The following is a 22,920-nucleotide window of genomic DNA, read 5'->3' as shown; positions in this document are numbered from 1 at the left end:
ACACGTATAATAGGGGAGTTGACAAAATTATAAGCTGGTTCTGTGAAAAGATTTTAAAATACTGATGACGCTCCAGCAAGGTCACTCAAGATCAAAAAAAAAAAAAAAAAAAAGGAAAAGAAAAGAAAGAAAACACAAATAAAATGAGGGTTGAAAGGGGACACAATTACAAATACAGTAAAGATTAAAAGATGACAAGAAGATATTACAAATAACTGTATAGCATAAATTTGAACAACTAGATTAAATGAGAAAGTTCTGAGGAAAATAAACTGTATCAAAATCAACTCAAGAAAGACAAGGAAACTTTTAGGGGCCTGTAAAAATTAAAGAAACAGAGTGGTTTTAACTCTTTCCACAAAGAAAACACTGGTACCAGATGGTTTTAAACAGTAAGTTCTATAAATCATTGAAGAAATAAATAATTCCAAACCTAGAATACGAATTCCAGAATGTAGATAATGAGAAACCACACCTCACATTTTAGAAGGGTGGCAAACTTAGTTACCTGGCAAGTAAAAAGAAAACATTGATATCAGTAAAAGAGATGAGCATGGTATCAGTGTGAGGTCAGTGTAACCTTGGAACCAGTACAGGAGAAAAATTCCAAGGCCATCACACTCATGAATATAAAAATTACAAATAAAATCATAGTCGACTGAATCCAGGGATTCAAAGATTTGTTGAACACTGGAAAATAAATGAAATCATTTACCACTTTAACAGATTAAGAAGAAAAATTATCTTAAAAGATCACAAAGTGTATGTATTCATTTTATACGCTATCTGAAAAAGGCAGAAAAAGAAAGAGAGAATAGAAAAGTAAGTGGTTGCCAGGGGTTAGGGGTGGGGAGATGGTTGGAGGACAAAAGGGCAGCCTAAGGGAACTTTCGAAGGTGACAGAACCAACTCTTCAGTATCCTGATTGTGGTGGTGGTTCCACGACCCTGCATATGTTAAAATTCATAAAACTCTCGCATTTTAGAAGGGTGGCAAACTTCTTTGCGGAAAGAGTTAAAACCACTCTGTTTCTTTAATTTTTACAGGCTTGTAAAAAATTAAAAGAAAGGTGGTTTGAAGAAACAAAACCATTATTATTCATAGATGATATGATTATGTAGAAAATAAAATCTATAGATAAAAGATTTGCAAAGAGCCTGAAGATGCTGAATATAACAACAATGAACAAAAATAAATTGCAGTTCCACTCTGGGAAGATGGAGTAGACAGACTTTTCCCTATTTCTCCCAGTAAGTACAACTAAAAACTCTAGATATTTGATGTTAAACAAACATAAGAAGACTCTGAAAGGTAGCAAGAAGACAGATCAGATAGGAACCTTGGTACCCAAGGAATGACAAGATGACTTCTCTAGGAATTCTTTTGCCTCATGTATTCCAGAATTGCAGCTGGCAATCTGGAATTGCCAGTAGGTACAGGCAAAAAAAAAAAAAAAAAAAAAAAAGCCAAAACAAAAGTCTGATCTCTCTAGCCAAAAGACCATGAAGGGACTGTTCAGCGAGACAGAAAACATTAGACAATAACTGCTCCACTCCACCAAAGAAAAATGGGGCCCTGTCCCACCCATGCCAGCAGTGGCTAGACTTCCATCTTTCCCAGGTAGTAACAACTTACTCCAACCCGGCCGTTGGGGTACTGTCAGAGAAGGCTGAGTAGAGCGATGGGACTTTCATCCTGCCATACGGCAAAAAGCCCTTTTCACCCACAGCCTTAGTGTAAAACATCTGGAGAACTGTAAATCACATCTCTATACAACATTAATGAGAAGTCCCTCACCTTGGGTGTCAACAAAGACCGAATGGGGAAGCTGGACTTCTACCTTTACCTGGCAGTAACAAATGGTGGCCCCTTCCCCACACTCGCAAGAATAATGTCAAAGGCAGCTAAAATGGAAGGTTTGAATAAGATCCAGGGCCTCATAACAATTTTTAAAAGTCCAGGATTCAATTGAAAATTACTAATCATACCAAACCCCAGAAATATTTTGAACAGGATAGAAGAAAAACCATCAATAGATGCCAACACTGAGATGATAGAAAATATAGAAATATTTGACAAAGATTTTAAGGCAGCTGTCATAAAATGTTTTAAATAAGCAATTGCAAACATGCTCAAAACAATGAAAAAGAAAGTTTCAACAAATAAATAGAAGATATGAAGAATCAAGTGGAAACCTTATCACTAAAAAATATAATTATCAAAATAAACTAAAGGAATGAACTCAGGGGACAGAGGAAAGAATCAATTAATCAGAATACGGAATAACAGAAATTACTCAATCTGAACAAGACAGAGAAAAATAGACTGGGAAAAAAATGAACCAAGCCTCAGGGATCTGTGATACTATAACAAAAGAGCTAACATTTGTGTCATAGGGTTGTGGAAGGAGAGAGAAAGAGAATGGGATTCATAAATAATGGCTGAGCACTTCACAAATTTAGGAAAAGAGATGAAATTACAGATTCAAGAAGCTTAGAGAATTCCAAACAATAAATCCAAAGAAACATACATAAAAGCCCATTATAATTTAACTTTAAAAACTAGACACATAAAATTATCTTAAAAACAAGCTGAAAGAAATAACACATTAATTATAAAGGAAACTCAATTCAGATGACAGTAGATTTCTTATCTGAAAGAGGACAGAAGGATGTGGTATATTTTTAAGTAATGGAAGAAAAAAATTGTCAGCCTAAGGTCCTTTATGTAGCAAAAAATATTTTTTTCTGAAATGAAAGAGAAATTAAGAGATTCTGAGATGAAGGAAAATGAATAGAATTTGTCACCACCAGAACTATCCCAAAAAAACAGCTAAAGCACATTCACGAAACAGAAGGAAAACAAACAAACAAACAAAAAGAATCTTAAAACGTCAGGAAGGAAAAACACATGGCAAACAAAATATGAGTAAATACAATAGACTTTTCTTCTCTTGAGTTTTCTAAGTTGTATTTGATGGTTGAAGCAAAAAATGTTAACACTGTGATGTGGTTTTAAGTGTATGTAAAGGAAATATTTTAAGACAATTATAGCATAAACGAGGTAGGTAAAGGGAAATAAGTTTGCTACACTTCACTTGAATTGGTAAAATGATCACTAGTAGACTATAATGAGTTATGTCTATATAATGTAAAGCCCACAACAACAACTAAAAAAGCTATACAAGATTTTTTATAGAGACAATCAATGAAACAAACCTCTAGCAAGACTGCAACATTAAAACAATAAAAAATAGAAGACACAAATTACTAATATCAGAAATAAAAGAGAAGCTATCACTACAAACCCTGAAGACTTCTGAAGGATAATAATGAAATGCTACAAACCACTCTACACACATAAATGTACTAAATGAAATGTACCAATTCCTCAAAAAGCACAAACTACCACAACTCTACAAATATGAAAAACATAATTTGAATAGTTCTATAACTATTAAGAACATTGAATTTGTAATTTCAAAACTTCCAAATGATAAACCTCTAGGGTCAGATGGCTTTACTGAAGAATTCTATCAAACATTTAAAGAATTAACATAAATTGTACACAGTCTTTTCCAGAAAATGGCAGAAAATACATCCCAATTCATCTTATTAAGCTAATATTATCTTGGTACCAAAACCAGACAAAGATTTACAAAAAAAGAAAACTACAAGCCAATAGTCTTCATAAATATAGATGCATGGCCAGACATGGTGGCTCATGCCTATAACAACAGCACTTTGGGAGACTGAGGCAGGTGGATTGCTTGAGCTCAGGAGTTTGAAACCAGACTGGGCAACATGGCAAAATTCTCTCTCTACAAAAAAAACTAAGAAAATAAAAATTAGCCAGGCATGGTGGCACATGCCTATGGTCCCAGCCATTTGAGAGGCTGAGGTGGGAGGATTTCTTGAGCCTGAGAGGTGAAGACTGCAGTGAGCCATGATTGTGCCACTGCACTCCAGCCTGGGTGACAGAGCAAGACCTTGCCTCAAAAAAAAAAAAAAAAAAAAAAAAAAAAAATATATATATATATATATATACTTATATAGCTAATATATAAGCAAAATGTTAGCAAATTGAATTCATCAATATATGAAAAGAATTATACATGATGACCAAGTGGAATTATTCTTGGAATGCAAGGATGGCTCAATATTCAAGAATCAATTGATGTTATTCACTCTATTAATAGGCTAAACAAGAAGAATCACATGATCATATCAATGAATGCAAAAAAATTTTTTGACCAAATTAAGTACCCAATCATGATTAAAAGCTGTCAGTACACTAGGACTAGAGGAGAATATCTTCAACCTCATAAAGAACATCTGCAAAAAACCTGTGGCTAAAACCATAATTAATAATGAAAACTAAACGTTTTCACCAAGACTGGGGACAAAGAAAGAATGCCCAATCTCAACACTCTCATTCAACATACTACTGGAAGTTCTACTTACTACAATAAGGAAACAAAAGAAAATAAAAAGCATAAAGATCAGAAAGGAAGAAATAAAACTGTCCTTGTTTGTTGATGATGTTGTTGTCTACACAGAAAAACTCAATGCCTAGAACTAATGAGTTTCAGTAATTCATAGGTATAAAATTAGCTTACAAAAATCAATTGTATTTCTATCTACTATCAATGAATATTTGGACACCCAAATTAAAATGCATACCATTTATAATCACTCAAAAGAAAGCAAAATACTTAGGCATAAATCTGACAAAACATGTATAGGACTTGTATGCTACAAACTACAAAGACACTAATGAGAGAAATGAAAGATGATCTAAATAAATACAGAGACATACCATATTCATAGATTGAAAAACTCAGCATAGTAAAGATTAATTCTTCCCAAACTGATATGCTGGTTTAACGCAATTCCTACCAAAACTTCAGTAAGACTTTTTGTAGATATAGACAAAATTATTCCAAAATTTATATGTAAATGCAAAGGGATTACATTAGCTAAAACGACTGAAATAGAAGAATAAAATGGGCGGAATCAGTCTACCCAATTTTAAGACTTAATGTATAGCTACAGAATTCAGCACTGTGTGATATTTGGTAAGAGATATACATAGAATAGAGAACACAGAAATAAGCCTGAAGCATATACCAAACTGATATGTGACAAAGATGCAGCAGGAATTCAATGGAAGATAGTTTTTTTCAACAAATGGTGCTATAATTGGATATCCACAGGAGAGAAAAAAAAAAAAAGCTTGGTTTAAGTTTCACATTTCACACAAAAATTAACTCAAAATGGACTTACAAGTATAATGTAAGACTATGAAACTTCTAGAAAAAATAGGAGAAAAGGTGGAGGTGGGGTTGGGAGGGAAGTGACTGTGGCTATATAAAGGTAACATGAGGGAACCTTGCGATGATGGAAATATTCTATATACTGGCTGCATCAACATCAGTAATATTCTACTATAATTTTACAAGATGTTACCATTGGGGGAAACTGGATTATACACAGACTTCTCTGTATTGTTTTCTTGTGACTTTTGGTGAATCTACCATAATTGCAAAATAAAATGTTTAATTAAAATAACTATTTAAAAATTGCATTCCATATGCCAGCAAATAGCAGTTCATAAATAGAATTATTAAAAAGATAAGAATTACAATGCACCAGAAAATGAGGAATGCCTGGGAACTAATCTAATGAAAGATATGTAAGCCCTTGCTGAAGAAAATTATAAAAATTGCTGAAATACATTAAATAAGGCCTGAATAATGCAGCAATATATCATGTCTATTAAAGTGGTAGGCTTAATAGATGTCAATTCTCCCCCAAATTTATCTACAAATTTAATGCAGTATCAAACTTTCAAGTCTTTTTTTTTTAGATTTAAGCTTATCCTTAAATATTTATCAAGAAGCAAAGGGCCTCAAATAAATAAGTATATCTAAATAAACACTAGGAAGGAGATACTTTCATACAAGAGAACAATACTTGTTTTAAAATATAGTGATTAAGACAATGGCTTATTGGCATACAAATCTTAAAAACTGACCAAATGGAATAGAATAGAGAGCCTAGAAACAACCCCATGTTCATAAGAGGAAACCTGAATTCTGACAAAACTAATACTTTAGATCTGTGGGGAAAGAGACACTTTTCAACAGAGGGCGCTGGAACAATGGGCTAACTGTATGGAAAAAAAATAATGTACCCCTATACCCCACAGACATCAATTCCAGGTAGACTAAAAACATAAACACAAAAGGCAAAACTCTAAGATGTTTAGAAGACAACAAAAAAGAATAGACATTATAAAATAATGTTTATTACTTTAGGAAATGGTAACAATTTTTAATAAGATACAAAAGCATAAAGTATAAAGGAAAGGATTGATAAATCCCACATTAAAGTTAGGAACTTCTACTCATCGATTAAAAGAGTAAAAATGACAAATTAAAAGCTGGGAGAAAATAGAGAAAGCTGGGAAAAGAAGGAAGAAGACTAGCAAGCCAAAAGAAAAATAGAAAAAGGTTTGAATGAGTATATAACATTGAAGTTTCTATAAAATATGAAAAAAGGTTTATATACGTACAACGTTATTAGTAATCAGGGAAATGAAAGTTGCAACTAAAATTAGAAACAATTTCATTGCCCTGAGATTGGAGAAAGTTTAAAATCTGATGTTATCAAGGATTGATGAGGATGCAAAGGAACAAAGAAACTTACACCTGCTGATGGAAGGGTAGATTGGTATAACCACTTCAGAAAATAATTTGGCTTTATCTAGTATATATGAAAATTCCCATACCCTTTGACTCACCATTTCCACACCTAGATTTATACTCTACTGAACTTGCACAGATGCCACTGGAGGTATGTACAAGAATGCCCATGGAAGTATAGTCTCTAATTTAAAGTAGGTGAGGGGAAAGGGGAAATATCTCAAACGTCCACCAATAGTAGAATGGATAAATTGAGTGGTTTTCACACAATGGAAAACTCAAGAGCAGAGAAAAATCAATGAACTACAACAAAATGAAATAATATGAATGAATTCCTGGAACATAATATTGAATAACATAAACAAATTTACCAAAGAGGAATCACAGTGCAATAGCATTGATATCATGTTCACAAATAAGAAGAACGGAGACTTCCAATTCCAGGACAAGATGGTAGAGACTGACTTTCCTCCTCTTTGCTAAATACAACTAAATACCCTGGGAATTATTTAATAGACAACAATATAAAGATTCTGAAAGTCAGAATGAACTGGTTAGTTACCTCAGGACTTGGGAAACAACAATAGGGTGAGTTCCCTGGATTTTCTTTCTATCTACTATCTACCCCAAACTAGAGGCTGGAGAGGCCTGCAACCCAGAACTGCCAATAGGCAAAGCCAAAAACAAACAAACAAACAAACAAACAAACAAAGACAAGCCTGTTCTCGCCAGCCTGGCTAAAACACCAGGAAAGGAGGAAGACCAGCAAAGACCTAGTGGGGAATCCCAGCCTCTGTTCCACAACCAGGGTGCCAAGATGTGGTCTGATATGTCTACTTTAGCAGCAGCAAAATCCTAGGTTAACTCAGCCCCACTCTATCACTGGGGCACTGGCAAGTGGTCCAGTTCATCTTCAGGGGCAGCATCAGCTGAGTGCTTCATTTTTTTCTGCTCTCCACCTAGTAGAAAAAGAGGCCCAGGCCCTGTAGGTTTTTTCTGTCCCCAAACCTAAGCAGCAGATGGTCACCCAGTGGTACCAGGCAGCCCAGGAAAGGTCTTTTCACCCCAGTAGACAGAACTGCAGGGATTGAGCAAGACCACTGGTAGTGCCAGAAAATGAAGCATACCAGAATAGCACTGCAAGGGCTCTGAACACTGAAATGCCATTGTAACAAAAGCTCATAAGAGTAGGCCAGAACTACATGCTAATCCTAAACAGAGTGGCTGCCTACTAAAACAAAAGATCTAAGTCAGATGAAGAGTCTTCTCACATAATAATCAAAATGTCCAAGATACAATTGAGTCACTTATAATGTCAAGAACTGAGAATTCACGAGTCATGTGAGAAAAGATAAACTAAAATAAACCCAAATAAATCAACAACTAGATACATCATAATTAAACTTCTAAAAACTAAAGATGAAGAAAATTTGTTTAAATAACAAAAAGATGACACATTACCTGTAAAGAAAAAAAAAAAAGAACACCAATTCAAATGACAGCAGATTTCACATCTGAAAACATGAAGGTCAGAAGTCAGGACACATTTTTTTAAGCATAAAGAAATTCATGTCAACCATAAATCCTATATCTATTGAAACTACCCTTCAGGAATGATGGAAAATAAAGATATTCTCAGGTAAAAAAAAAAAAAAACTAAAAGAATTCATTGCTAGCAGGCCTACCCTTAAAGAATGGCTAAAGGAAATTCTTCAAATACAAAGAAAATGATAAAATGTCTGGAACCTTTGGAAAGGAAAGAAGAAGAATAGAATGAGTAAAAATATAAATAAACATAATAGATCATCTTTCCCTTTATGAGTTTTTTTACTTATATTTTATGGTTGGGGCAAAAGTTATAACAACACCTAATGAGGTGTTCAATAGATATAGAGAAAGTACTTAAAACAATAATATTTAAGAAATGGAGAAAAGTAAAGTGATCTAAATATAAGTAAGACTTCTACACTTTACTCGAAGTGGTAAAATGTCAGTACCAATAGGCTGCATAACAAGTTATGTGCATATATGGTAATATATACAGCAACCACTATGAAAACTATAAAAAGTTATATACTCAAAAGCATAATAAATAAATCAAAGTGGAACTCTTTAAAATGTTCAAGGATTACACCGGATGGCAAAAGAAAATAAATGGAGGAACAAGAAATAAAGGGAACAAACAGGAAACAAATAATAAAATGACAGACTTAAGTTCTAACATACAAGTTATTACTTTAAATATAAATTGCTTAAATACACCAGTTAAAATACAGAGACTAGGCCGGGCGCAGTGGCTCACGCCTGTAATCCCAGCACTTTGGGAGGCTGAGGTGGGTGGATCACGAGGTCAGGAGTTCAAGACCAGCCTGGCCAAGATGGTAAAACCCCATCTCTACTAAAAATACAAAAATTAGCCAGGCTTGGTGGCAGGTGCCTGTAATCCCAGCTACTCGGAAGGCTGAGGCAGAGAATTGCTTGCACCTGGGAGGCGGAGGTTGCAGTGAGCCGAGATTGCATCACTGCACTCCAGCCTGGGTGACAGAGCAAGACTCCGTCTCAAAATAAATAAATAAATAAAATAAATAAAATTAAAAAATAAAATAAAGAGACTGGTAGAGTGAATAAAAATTTCTAAATGACCCAATTATATGCCATCCATAAGAAACTCACTTGAAACATAACAAATAGGTTGAAAATAAAAGGATAAAAAATAGACACCATGTAAATGCTAATCAAAAATAAGTGGAACTAAATAATAAAACATTCAGATATACAAACAGGTATAATAAAGTATAAAGAAAAGCAAGAGAATAATAACCCAAAATTAAGTGGTTACCTTAGAGAGGAGTGAGAATGGAAAGGCATCAGGTAGGAACATTCAAATAATCTCAAAGTTAACGGTAAGGTTTGTTTCTTAAACTTGATAATTGACACACCGGTGTATAGGGCATCTTTATTTTTTAGAGTGTGTATACATCTTACAAATTCATTTTTATATGTTCAATATTTAATAAAATACTTTGAAGATCTTAAAATAATAAACTATGATACATGTGTGTGATGTATAGAATCTCATGCAGCCTTAAACCTTTTTTCAGACATTCTTCTAAACTGGGGGTGGAAACACAAATTGTTACAGTAAATTCCTCCTACCTGCAGCTAGTTGCCATTCTTCAATGGGAATATGTAAGTTTCTTAATTGTTTGTTGTTTCAAGCAGGGATGGTGGAAACTAAGGGTGCAGGATAAGAGGAGGATCAGGAAAAGATTTATGGCGGATGCTCCACTGAAGCTGAGCCTTAGAGGATAACTAAAACTTGGGTTCATAAAGATGAGAGTGAGGAAGATATTCCAGGCAGAGAGCCACAAGGACAAAGGCTTGGAGGCAGTAACCAGTGGGTTATATGTGAAGGACAGGGAGAAGCCTACATGGGTTGTAATGTACAAATGAAGGGCCGTATTGAGAAATAGAGTTGGAAAGGTAGATGGTTTACTACTTCTTCCCAGTTTCCTTTCTTTTTTTGAGATGGAGTCTCCCTCTGTTACCCAGGCTGGAGTGCAATGGTTGCGATCTCAGCTCACTGCAACCTCCACTTCCCGGGTTCAAGCAATTCTCCCTGCCTCAGCCTCCTGAGTAGCTGGGATTACGGGCACCCACCACCAGGCCTGGCTAATTTTTGTGTATTTCGTAGAGACAGGATTTTTGCCATGTTGGCCAGGCTGGTCTCGAACTCCTGACCTCAGATGATCCACCCGCCTCAGCCTCCCAAAGTATTGTAATTACAGGCATGAGCCACCGCGCCCGGCCTTATTCTCCTCTTCTTTTCTACCTAACACCTCTTCACTAACCAAATGAAGTTCTGCCAGAGCTAATGAAATTCAAAAGGCCAACTCCTAAAACTAGCTTTCAGGAATAGTACAAAATGTTTTCTGGCAATAAAAACAGCAACTAGAAATCACATTGAATTGGGGAGACAGTCAGCAAGTGAAGATTAATCATACCTGTGGGCAGCCCCTCCTTGCTTCCTGCACATGGACCACCCTTGCCTCCCTGCTCATCCTCCCACACACTCAGGGGATACAGCTGGCTCTGTGGGAGTCATGGAGCCCTAAGCTTCCCTCTCAGTGGCTGCTCTCAGCATCCATAAGTCGCTCTTCTGCGGCAGGAAGAGGCAGGCAGCCAAAAGATTGGGTTTCCCACTTGCCAAGAAGGCCCAGGCCCCAAAGCCACAGGCTGAGTTGCTCACAGGCAGCAAAGCAAAGGATTTTGTCTGCTGAAGGAAGGCCTTGACCACCTTTTCTCCAACCACAGCACATGCCAGAGATTCAGACGACTGATCTGACCTCATCAAATCCTGAGTCATGCTATATGAGTGGTGACACTGTCTGACCAATTACTTTGAATTTTTAAAGAAAGCAAGATTTTCCACTCTATGGAGGTCATTCTCATGTGGATAAAGCATTTCACATCTTTTTAGGAGGGCAGCTCTGAAGTGGGGACCTCCCACACATTCGGTCTCATCTGCTGCTGTCCTTCTTCCAGATCGAGTGTCCTGTAACTCCATATCCCACCCAATGGGAATGCCCAAAGCAATATTCAGTGTAAAGCCATGTGTTGATTCAAATAAACAAATGCAAGTTTGGGCCATGTGAATAGACTCTCTGCCTTAAGGGTGGTCTCATTATACCCTTTTATGGGTATAATGCCACTCCTTTCACAAACATTTATAGAGCCATTATTATGTGCCGTTCCCAGTCTCATTCAGTTCTGTGCTCCACCGTGTCGTAAAACATGGGGTTCCAGGTCTACTTTGTGACCTGCTCACATTCAACTGGAGAGAAATTGAGAAATGGGAGGCATGAGACTCCATCAGGAGAGCTTGTGCCCCTGATACAGTTTAGATGTTTTGTCTCCTCCAAATCTCATGCTGAAAGGTGATCCCCAGTGTTGGAGGGGGGGCCTAGTGGGAAGTGTTTGGGTCACTGGGGGCAGATTCCTCATGAACGGCTTTGTGCTCTTTTTGTGGTCATGAGTTCACATGAGATCTGGTTGTTAAAAAGAGTCTGGGATCTCCTCTCTCTCTCTTGCTCCCTCTCTTGCCATGTGACACAACTGTTCCCTCTTCATCTTCCATCATGAGTAAAAGCTTCCTGAGACCTCACCAGAAGCCGAGTAGATGCTGGTCCCATGCTTGTATAGCTTGCAGAATGGTAAGCCAAATAAACCTCTTTTCTTTAAAAATTACCCAGTCTCAGGTATTCCTTTATAGAAATGCAAAATGGACTAACACAGCCCCCAACCTTATCTTTTCTCTGGGTCTGTGCTATCAATGGAGAATCACACCACTGGTATGCACAGTTCAAGGCTGGAGAGGTACCAGGGTAGCTGTTTACTGGGCATGGGGGCAGTGATTAGAGAACTACAGGTGTTCACATACATGCATTTATGGCCCCTAGTGGTGATGAACAGTGCTGAGAGTGGTACAAGAAAGAGAATCCTAGCTGGCAGCCAGGAGCCATGAAATGGCTTTTCCTACACCATCACCTTCCAGTGGAAAACTCTGAGGAGTCCAAGAAATCAGTTGAACTTGGCCATCCAAGTTCTTATCAAGGTATATTTGTCAAGGTAGGAAGGTAGAACATGTATTTTTAACATATTTTACCTTGACTTATAACTTTTTAGACACTTAACATGTAGATCTCATGTGTACTTTCATTCTAGGGCCTACCTGTATTAGAGGCAGCCTGCTGCAGGCAGAAAGGAAGTGATCTTACCGAGAAACACATAAATGCAGGAAGGAATGAAAAATAATGGAAAATGTAAACATTTAAATTAATGTACATGAATATTGACTCTATAGAATAATAATGATATAGTCTGGAGTTTTAAATATATGTAGAATTAAAATGCATGACAATAATACCAAAAAGTGGGCAAGTATAAATGGAGTTGTGTGTCCTAAGGTTTTAGCATTATTTGAGAACTAGTAAAAAGTACAAATTTATATAAGACTAATATATTAAGACTGTATGTTGTATATTTTAATGATTAAAAAAGTAAAAAAATTATAGCTAACAAGCTAATCATAGGGGAAATGGAATAGTAAAAATTATGTTAGTCCAAAAGAGGGCAAGATGAGAGAGAAAACAGAATATAAAACACTTGAGACAATTAGACACTAAATAATAAGAGAGTACACATAGATCCAAACACATCTGAAATGATATTAAATGTAAATAGTGTAAACACCTACAATTCTAAAGACAAAGATTGAAGGAAGAACAACATAATTATATGATGCTTGCATGTGATATACTTTAAATATGTGAACACAGATTGAAGATAAAGAAGGAAAAAAGATATACCACGCAACCACTCACCAAAAGATAGTGGTGAAGCTATACTAGTATCAGACAATTTTTCAGAAAAAAATCAGCACTAGTCAAAAGAATATTTCGAAATTGTAAGAGCATTTATCAACCAAGAAAACATAAAAAGTTATAAAGGTCTATGCACATAGAGTATAGCTTCAAAATATATAAGGCAAAAATTGACAGAACTAAAAGGAGAAACAGACCAATCTACAATAATAATGAGAGGCTTTAACATGCTTCTTTCAGCAAATAATTGAGAGCTGGAATTGATAAAGTTAAAAAAGATTGGGAAAATAGCTAACAAGCTATTCATAGGGGAAATGGGTAGACAAATATCTTCTCTATTTGACTATTCATGCAAATTAATGGTTATTGTGGAATTTGACCTAATAGACAAATATAGAAGATGGCACTCAACAAATATATATGTATATACAGATATATATATGCATACACATACACAGACATATATACACATTTTTTGTGTGTATATATGTGTGTGTGTGTATATGCATGTATATATATTCTCAACAAATTTCCAGTGATTAAAATCATTCGCAATACATTCTCTTCTTTAACTATGGAACAATTAGTCTAGGAATCAATCAAGACACACACACACACACACACACACACACACACACACAGAAAGAGAAGACATATGTATCAATATTAGGAATGAAAAATGAACATCACTATGGTTTTTACCAATGCCTAAAAAATAACAAGTATACACACACGCACATCAATGTAAGTAAAGCTGAGAAAATGTGAGTAACGTTAATGGTTTGCATCAAAATCAATATGCTGGTTGTGCTACTGTACTAGAGTTATGCAAAATGTTACTTTTGGGGAAAACTGGGAAAAGGTACACAGGATCTTTCTATTATTCTTTACAACTTCATGTAAATCTACAACTATCTCAAAATTTGAGTAAAAATATAAGATTTTTATTAACAACTTCATGCTAATAAATTTGGAAATTCAAATGAAACAAATTCTCAGAAGAAAAATGCATCTTACCAAAACTGATATCAAAAGAAGTTGAAAATTTGTATAGTCCTATTTCTACTAAATAAATACAGTGATAATTTAAAACCTTTCCAAAAAGAAATCTCTAGTCCCAGACGGCTCATAGGTGAATTCTTCAACCATTTTAAAAAAGTATAGCACCAATGTAAGTCAAAGTATTCCAGAAAATGGAAAAGAGAAAGTATTTCCTAACTCATTTCATGAGGTCAAAATACCCATAGTTTGAAAACCAGACCAAAACATTACCAGAAAGGAAAGTTTTAGGTTATCTCTCTCATAAACACAAGGGGCAACAATTACTAACAAAATATTAGCATATCAAATCCAGAGTTATATTAAAAGGACAATACATCATAGCTAAATTGAGTTTATTCCAGGAAGACAAAGTTGTTTCAACATTCAAAAAAGTCAATTAGTGCAATTCACTACATGAAAAAGTAAAGTATAAAACTCCATACGAGCATCTCAATAAATGCAGGAAAAAATCATTTCACAAAATTCAACAATTTATGTTGGCGGTGGGGGTGGCGGGCAAAATAAAACCTCTGCCAATTGTGAACAGAGGCAAACTTCCTTAATCTAATGAAGGGTAGCTACAAAAAAACTACAACAAACATCATATGTACAGACATAATAATAATGAAACTTTCCCCTTGAGATTAGGAATGAGACAAGGATGCCTGTTATCACCACTTCTATTCGACATTGCACTGTAGGCCTTAGCCTGTAAAATAAAGGGGAAAAAAGTATAAAAATTGGAAGGGGAGAAATAGAGCTCCGCTTATTCAGAAATGGTAGGTAACGATTGGATATGCTGAAAAATAAACAACAACAACAAAAATCTCCAATCAAACTTTGCAGAAATATATCATGTAAAGGGACTGGAATATCAAGTACTGTAAAGATGTCAGTCTTCTTCAGATTGATCTATAAAGCCAAAGCAATTCCAATAAAAATTCCAACGGAAAAACCAAGTCTAGTTTTAAGAACAAATGTGAAAAAAAAAAGAAAAAAAAAAAAAAAAAAAAAAAACAAGAACAAATGTGGAGGACTTACATGACCAAATATCATAAAGCTTATTAGAAAGCTTCAGTAAATTGAACTGTGCAAAAATAGGAAAAATAAAAGACTAATAGATCAGAATAGAGAAACCAGAAATAGACCTATACATATGTGATCCTTGACTTATAAGAGAGATGACACTGCTATGCAGTGGGGTGAGGACAGGATTTCCAAAAAATGGTGTTGACTACATTGGATATTCACGTAGGAAAAAAGTTAGCAGCTAACTCACAACATATACAAAAATTTATTTAATGTGAATTAAAGATCCAATTGTGAAAGATAAAACAACCAAGCTTCTAGAAAAAACATGAGGAAATATCTTTATGACCTTTGGGTAGGCCGAGCAGAGTGGCTCACTCTTGTAATCCCAGCACTGTGGGAGGCCAAGGTGAGTGGATTGCTGGAATGCACAAGTTTGAGAACAGCCTGGGCAACATGGTGAAACCCCACCTCTACAAAAAATACAAAAATTAGCCAGGCATGGTGGCATGTGCCTGTAGTCCCAACTACTCAGGAGGCTGAAAGGGGGGATCACTTGAGCCTGGGAGGTTGAGGTTGTGGTGAGCCCATGTTCATGCCATTGCATCCCAGCCTGGGTGACAAAGCAAGACCCTGTCTTAAGAGAGGGAGAGAGAGAGAGAGAGAGAGAGAGAGAGAGAGAGAGAGAGAGAGAGAGAGAGAGAGACAGACCGACCTTGGGTAGATCTCCCCTCCCCTCCCCTCCTCTCCTCTGGTCTCCTCAGCTCTCCTCTCCTTTCCTGCCCGCCTGCTTGCCTTCCTTTTTTCAGAGACAAGGTATTGTTATGTTATGTTGCTATGTTATGTTATTGTTATATTATGTTATATTGTTATGCTGCCCAGGCTGGTCTCAAAACCTCCTTGGGTTCAAGGGATCCACCTACCTCAGCCTCCCAAAATTCTGGGATTACAGGCATGAGCCACTGTGCCCAGCCAGAAAATGATTTATTTGTGAATCTGGGGCCAGGTTTGACTTCTGAGATGTAGGAGTGATCCCTCTCACTCCTGCCTCCAGCTTTCTCTCCCCTTCCTCCACTGTCTCCCTCTGCATTTTCACCTCCGTCTTCACCTGCATCCCCCATGCTCTGATGCCCTTTAACTCTCCAGGGAATCCTACCTTTGTCCGCCACCCATGTATACTGAGCCTCCTGGAGAGGTGGACAGGAGAGTCAGCTTGACCAGAGCTCATTTGCTGATTTCTAAGATTGCTTAGATTTCACAGAAATCTTAGCTGTACCCATTCCTTCTAGGGAAGCTCCATAATGAAGGGTGTAAATCCTATTATTGTGGAATATTCTAGGGAAATGAAAGGTAACCTAGAAGTCTCTTTGTAGGATATAATTCCCCCACTACTCATTCTCTGGCTGAGACCTTTCCTTAAGAAAACTGAGCAAGGAATGCCATTCAGGTTGGGGAAGAGATAAGGGACAGAATTAACTATGCTTACACCTGCCCCCTTCTCTAGACTGCAAGTTCCCTGAGGGTATAATATCAAATCTATTTCTTTATCTCCAGAGGACAGCTCATAACAAGTCCCTGCCAATGTCTGAAGAAAGAGAAAGAAATAAGGAAGAAAGGAGAAGGAAGAGAGGAAAGAGGAGAGGGAGAGTTTGACCTTTCGTTCCCTCTAACTGAGCTGCCTTCCATTTGGCCTTAACATCCTACTTAAAGGGCATTTAAAAATACTCTTCCCATTTGCAAACAGACAGGGGCTGGAGTAGCCAGTAAGTCCCTGTATTCCTTCTTTCAAAGTTCTAAGTCTGATAAATTGTATTTGCTTTTGTTTATTAACTTAGGAAGCCTGACTTTTGACATTCTCCCATTTGAATTCATCTCCAGGGGTCTAGAAGCTCCCCCAGAACAAACAGCCCTAATCAGTACTTTCATGCACAACACAGATTCAAATGCTTAATTAGTTTGGATTCTTCACGCCCATGCCCCGCTTTGGCACATCCTGGGGCATTAATTTACCCAGTCTTTTCTGGGCCAAACACAACCCATCCAATAAGGCTTTAAAAAAAAAAGTTGGCTGTTTATATAACTTCCTCTTCTTTAATTTTTATATTAGGCGTTTCCAGAGGAGAGGCTAACATCACAGGGCCTCATTCCAGATGTTGTTTTGAAATCAGTGTAACCATGGCATTGCTGGAGCCTGCAGAGTTCATCTGGGCCAACTGAGTCACGCCTGGGTGCAGGGCCACTCTGGCGAGGGGAGGCAGGGAGGGAGGCAGACAGGGCATGGACTAGAGTGTCCCTGTGAGAAGGGAGAAGTGAGTGGGTGTGGGCTATTGAGTACTCTGAGCTTCTCCAGAAAGGATATGAGGACCTGCTGTTGCCTTTGGCCTTGCTGACCTGGAACCTTTGATTGCAGGACTTGCTTAGGCAACTGAAACCCTCCCTTGCTTACAATTCACTCTTGGATCTTTAAGGATCACCTGTACTCCTTAAAAAAAAGAACAAGAGAGCTCAGGTTCTGAATTGGACAATGCCCCTCTCTGTTGTCCCAGTTCATCCCTGCCTCAAACTTGACTCCACTGTGCTCATCACCTCTTCTGCCACCCCCAGCAAATTCTTCCAAGCCCCTGTGAGCTCCTGCAAGCCCCTGCGAGCCCATATCCCTCTGCCCATTCCCACCTCTTACCACCATCCAGACTGGTTTCCTGGAATATCCTGCTTTCAACAGCCACCTCCCCCAGGACGCCCCTCCCCACACTGTCTGCCCTCCTCGGTGTACCCATGATTTCCCTGACATGTCTTTGCCTGCACTTTGGCCACATCAGAAATAAGAATGATCCAGTTTGTCCCTGTCTCCCTCATTATCCTCTGAGCATTGTCAACTATAACTCTTACACACTGTCTAGCACATTGAAGGGACTCAATAAATGTGTTTGAATTCATTAAGTGCTTAATTCCTCAGAATTAGTGCCCCCATGCTAAAATAGAAATAATAATCATCATCATATTTATCAAGCAATTACTACATGCATTGTTCTGTTTTAGGTGAATTTTCTCATGTAAGTGCCTATAATGTTATCCTTATAATATCCATATGAGATATATACTATTTTTAACTTTCTCCATTTAACAGGTGAGAAAACTGAGGCACAGAGAGGTAAAGTGGATTGTCTAGGATTACACAGCTAGTAACTGCGAAAGGCAGACCACAACCTAGGCAGTCAGATTAATGAGCCCACACACCTAACCCCTGTGCCATATTGCCCTTCAGAAATAGCAATATTGCTATTATTATATTAGTATATGTATATTTGATAATATGCATCATTAACATATTCTACTACCTTCCTCCCAAGGTTTGGGGGAAAGGAAGACAATGAGATAAGAGTTGTGAAGACATTTTTAAACCCAAAATATGGACTGGGTGTGGTGGCTCACTCCCCCAAGCACTTTGGGAGGCCAAGGCGGGCAGATCACTTGAGGTCAGGAGTTTGAAACCAGCTCAGCCAACATGGTGAATCCCCATTTCTACTAAAAATATTTTTAAAATTAGCTGGGTGTAGTGGCAGGCTCCTGTAATCCCAGCTACTCTGGAGGCTGAGGCAGGAGAATCACTTGAACCCAGGAGGCAGAGGTTGCAATGAGCTGAGATCGCACCCCTGTACTCCAGCCTGGGCAACAGAGCGAGACTCCGTCTCAAAAAAAAAAAAAAAATGTGTTGTACATGTGAATCACAAAGAGATGAAAAGGTGAAGTTTGTTCTTTCCCCTGCCCGGGTCCCTCCCCATGCCCACTCCTTCCCCATGCCATCTAGCCATTCTCAAGTATCCAGCCTCCTGCTGTGGAATAGGTACAAGGACAGAGTGATAGACGTGCTCACCTGTGCCCGGAGACCCCAGCATAAGCATTCAGACCTCTCCTCGCCTGTCTTTGCAGACGCATGTCCCTTCGCCTGGAATTCTCTCCCCTCCACCTCTGCTTAGTACAACTGCGCACCCTTAAGAGCACAACTCACCATTTTCCTGACCATTTTTCCAGCCCCTCCTGTTTTGCATGTTGGGACAGGGCACCTCCTTCCCCTACTACCCCCAGGTGCTCAAGCTGAAACTTCTACCCCCAGGTGCTCACAGGCTGAAACTTGCAGTTGAAGTTTACTTCTCTCATTCTCTCACATGCTACATCCTTGCATCAACAAATCCCTACCTTGGCCATTCTCAGTGCCTCTACCACCACCACCTCAGTCCAAGCCACGTCATTTCTGGCCTGGGTTATTGCTGCAGTCCCCCTCACTGGTCTCCCTACACTCCATTCTCCACTCAGCAGTCAGAGTGCTCCTTTTAAAGCACCAATCTGAGCATGTCACTTTCTTACTCAAAATCCTCCCATGGCTTCCCATCCTTCGTAGAATAAAACTCCAAGTCCTTGCCACAGCCCTTGTTCTGGTCCCTGGCTGCCACCTCAACTTGGTCTTCTACCATCCTCCTCTTTCCTCTTTACCCCAGGCATACCGGTCTCCTTGATGCTCCTAGGCACACTCTTGCTTCCTGTCTTTGCACATGCTGTTCCCACTGCCTGCAATGCCCTTCCCCAGGTGGGCACGTGATGCACCCCCCTCCACTTCATTCAGGTCCTTGCCAAAATGTCACATCTTTAGAGAAGCCTTTGTGATTACCTTTTCAATAAAAAGCAGTAACCCCTCCTCATCACTCTCTATCCCCTTATCCTGCTTAATATGTCTTCATAGTCCTTCACTACTTAATATAATATTATATTATATATCAAGTTGTTATTATCTATATCCCCAAATCAGAATAAAAGTTGCAATAGGACTGAGTCTGTTTTGCTCACTCCCGTGCCTGGCTTAAGTATTTACTGAATGAAGGAAGGAATGACAGCATCCCCAGAGACATGATGCCTTTTTCCTTTGAGCCTCCCACAGCCCTCCTACACCCCTCTTGTAGTGTATTTTTCACTCTATCTTAAGTGAGTTATTTCGGGGCAAAGACTGGACCCCCACTGTGCCTTGCAGATAATAGGTGCTCAGGAAATACCTATGATATTAAGAGGAAGCATGTGAATAATCCATTCTAGGATTCTGCTGAGGTCTTGAAATACTTTTTGAATTTCATTTAGGTGAGCGCTAATCTAGATACATTCATAATGTCACTAATAAATTTGACTCTCAGTTGGTGGATTAGATTTTTTCACATCATTAATGGCAGCCTGGGAGCCTGGCGAGCCTCCCCCAAACCCACTGGGCTGATGGCTTCTCCTTCTACCCAATTAAGTGAGTGCAGGACATATTAATAGAAGTCACATCATGGGTTATAGAGCAGACTGGGCTGGGTGAGGCTCTTAAGGATGCTGTGGAGTCCTTAAGGCCCTTAACACAAATGTTGTTTATTATGTGTGTTAAATAGTGATTTCCCTCCTGAAGAAGGCAAGCTGTACAGAGGTGACAGACCCCTTTCAAAGGTACTGGAATGTCTTCCCTATTTAAATGCATAGACTGGCAGTAGGCTATAGGAGAAATGTCTGTATGTTGGCTTATCACTGCGTTAGCAGCACTGATCCCATGGTTTAGGGCCATCTGGACTCTTGAAAAATCTCACCTTTGATAGAAGCCACAGCACTTGATAGCAAAATATTTTACTTGGTCTAGATTTCTGGTATTCTGCAATCTCCATCTCATTATGATGACAAAAATTGAAATATGATATAACAGAAAGGAAAACATTCTGAATTCTGGCAGGTCCCCAGACACTGCTTATTTCCCCCTCCCCTATTGATGGCTCCACTTGCCACCTTCAGCATCTACACCTATGTTGAAAATGGCAGAAGGTACCTGGAAAATGTTCACAGTCAGCATTCAGGGAACAAACTCACTCATCCGGCACCCCTTACCTTGCTTGCCATAAGGCCTCCTTCTCTGCCCAGGCCCTATAAGTCTGTTTCTATAAGTCTACAAGAAAGATGTGATTTGGCCTGCCTATGGTATGCTCTATAATGCCTGTCTAGAGAAAAGAGCTTCCCAGTGTATTGACTACTGCATCTGGCATTTTCCATCAGGGATCTAGGCTCAGTTTACCTTGGAGTGACATAGTGCTTCCCTGAACCTCTCAAGCAAGAGTGTTAACTGAGCCTGATTCACTCCCATACTCATTGTTACAGTTCCAGTGGGCCCTGCCTCAACTTTTTTCTTGCTCTCTTTCAGAATTATAACTCTGCAGCTTCATGATTTTTGAATAAATGGATTCAAAGACTTTAATTCACAGCACCAGAAACCAACTGCAGGCTAGTTCAGGCCTGCAAAGCCTGGGCATACCTTCATGAAGAATATCCTCCTACAGGTCTTGCCTCGATCATTCCCAGCTGCTTGGAGTTGAGCAGCCTCCGAGGCCAGTGCTAGATCAGGAACACTGCTGGGCCCAGCCTCCGATGTGTCTGCCAGCTGCACAGATGAGTGGAAAATTCCCTCCTTGCCCTGGGCCAAGGAAATCTCAAAGGGATCAGGATATTTCTCATCAGGGCTAGAGCCATCATCACTGGTCTTAGCATTACAGAGCATCAGGGACCTGGAGATGGACCGAAATTTTGCAGATTTTCTGCTCTTTCCAGCGCGGCTGTGCGACTCCATCCTCAAAGAGGAAGTGAAGCTGCCTTTCTTCCTTTCCTGGTCTCTGGCCCTTGGCTGACGGGTGGCCACTGGACAGGGCTTAGCTGCCACTTCATGAGTCCCTAGAGGAAAGAGGAAATGGGAAGAAGCAATGTGACTTGCTGCTGACAAGTGGAGCTGCACACGAGTCCTGGATCTGAGCCACGGGTTCTTGGTGCCCGTGAAGCAGGACAGATGGGCAGATCATCCTTTAAGATCACTGGCCCTTCCAGTGTGCCAGCCAAATGGGGCTCAGTTAACCCAAGCGGTTAACACCCACTCCACTCCCAGTGTCATGGAGACCTAGCCCCAGAGCTTCTCATTCTATAGACAAGGGAACTGAGGTGCAGAGAGGGGAAGTACCAACCCAAGGCACTAGCAGAAGAGCCAGTAATAAGTTACAGGAGACAGTTTAGGGATCTTAGAGGCCAGTACTTTGTGAGGTTTTTAAACTTGGAAGCCATTCTTTAAACAAAAGTGTGCAGTGAACTCCAGTCTATAGAGCAGACCAAAGATGGGAAAACCAAAACTAAGTTCCACTTTCCTGGTCCCCTTGGTAACTTCACCCTTGATAACTCCCATGGCATCTCCAAAGAAACCCCAGAATCCATGGAGCTGAGTCTGAAGACCACTGATGTCTTATGTCCTCCATTGACAGATGAAGAGCCCAAGGCTAGGAAGGTTGGAAGTCTTACCTAACACTGACCTGCCAGAGTTGATGTGAGCATAAAAGAAGGTGACACTTGGCAAGTGCCTGCCAAAGGGATGAGCACATAACAGGCTCCTGGCAAACATGAGTGCCTTTCTCCAGGCCTAAAGTCAAACACTTGGCCAGAGTCACAGTCAGGCCCAGGGGCTCCTGCTTCATCACCTATCCCCACTGGGTCAAACTCTCACAGCCAGAGAGACCAAAGATGGGCTTTCCAGTCAGGCCAACATCCTGGCTCAGCTTTGCCAAGAGGAGCCTCCCATGGATTCAGTTTCCATGAAGCAGGTGGTGAAAGGAGCCCTGATGCTGTATCCTAAAAAGTTCTGACTCAGGCCCAAGCCACAAAAGAGAGGCTGTGGCCAGAACAACAAATTGTGGGATGCTCTTGGCCCATTGGTACTGC

The 22,920-nt window shown here is 39.1% G+C and overlaps 1 protein-coding gene across 15 annotated transcripts in view; it reads right to left on the bottom strand.

Moving 5' to 3' along the window:
- IL16 (interleukin 16) overlaps nt 1-22,920 on the bottom strand; it is a 131,347-nt gene that overhangs the window by 66,869 nt on the left and 41,558 nt on the right. For all 15 annotated transcript variants that reach the window (NR_148035.2, XM_047432447.1, XM_047432448.1 and 12 more), the window contains one exon: nt 21,479-21,891. Coding sequence is in view for 12 of the 15 variants with exons in the window: in XM_047432447.1 (XP_047288403.1) it covers nt 21,479-21,891 (413 nt within the window). In the remaining 3 variants the exon portion in view is untranslated. The remainder of the gene's footprint in view (nt 1-21,478; nt 21,892-22,920) is intronic.

This window comes from Homo sapiens, chromosome 15 (assembly GCF_000001405.40).
Source record: "Homo sapiens chromosome 15, GRCh38.p14 Primary Assembly".
NCBI classification, from domain to species: domain Eukaryota; kingdom Metazoa; phylum Chordata; class Mammalia; order Primates; family Hominidae; genus Homo; species Homo sapiens.
The sequence above is the reverse complement of the archived record's forward strand: the minus strand, read 5'-3'. Positions and strand labels throughout refer to the sequence as shown.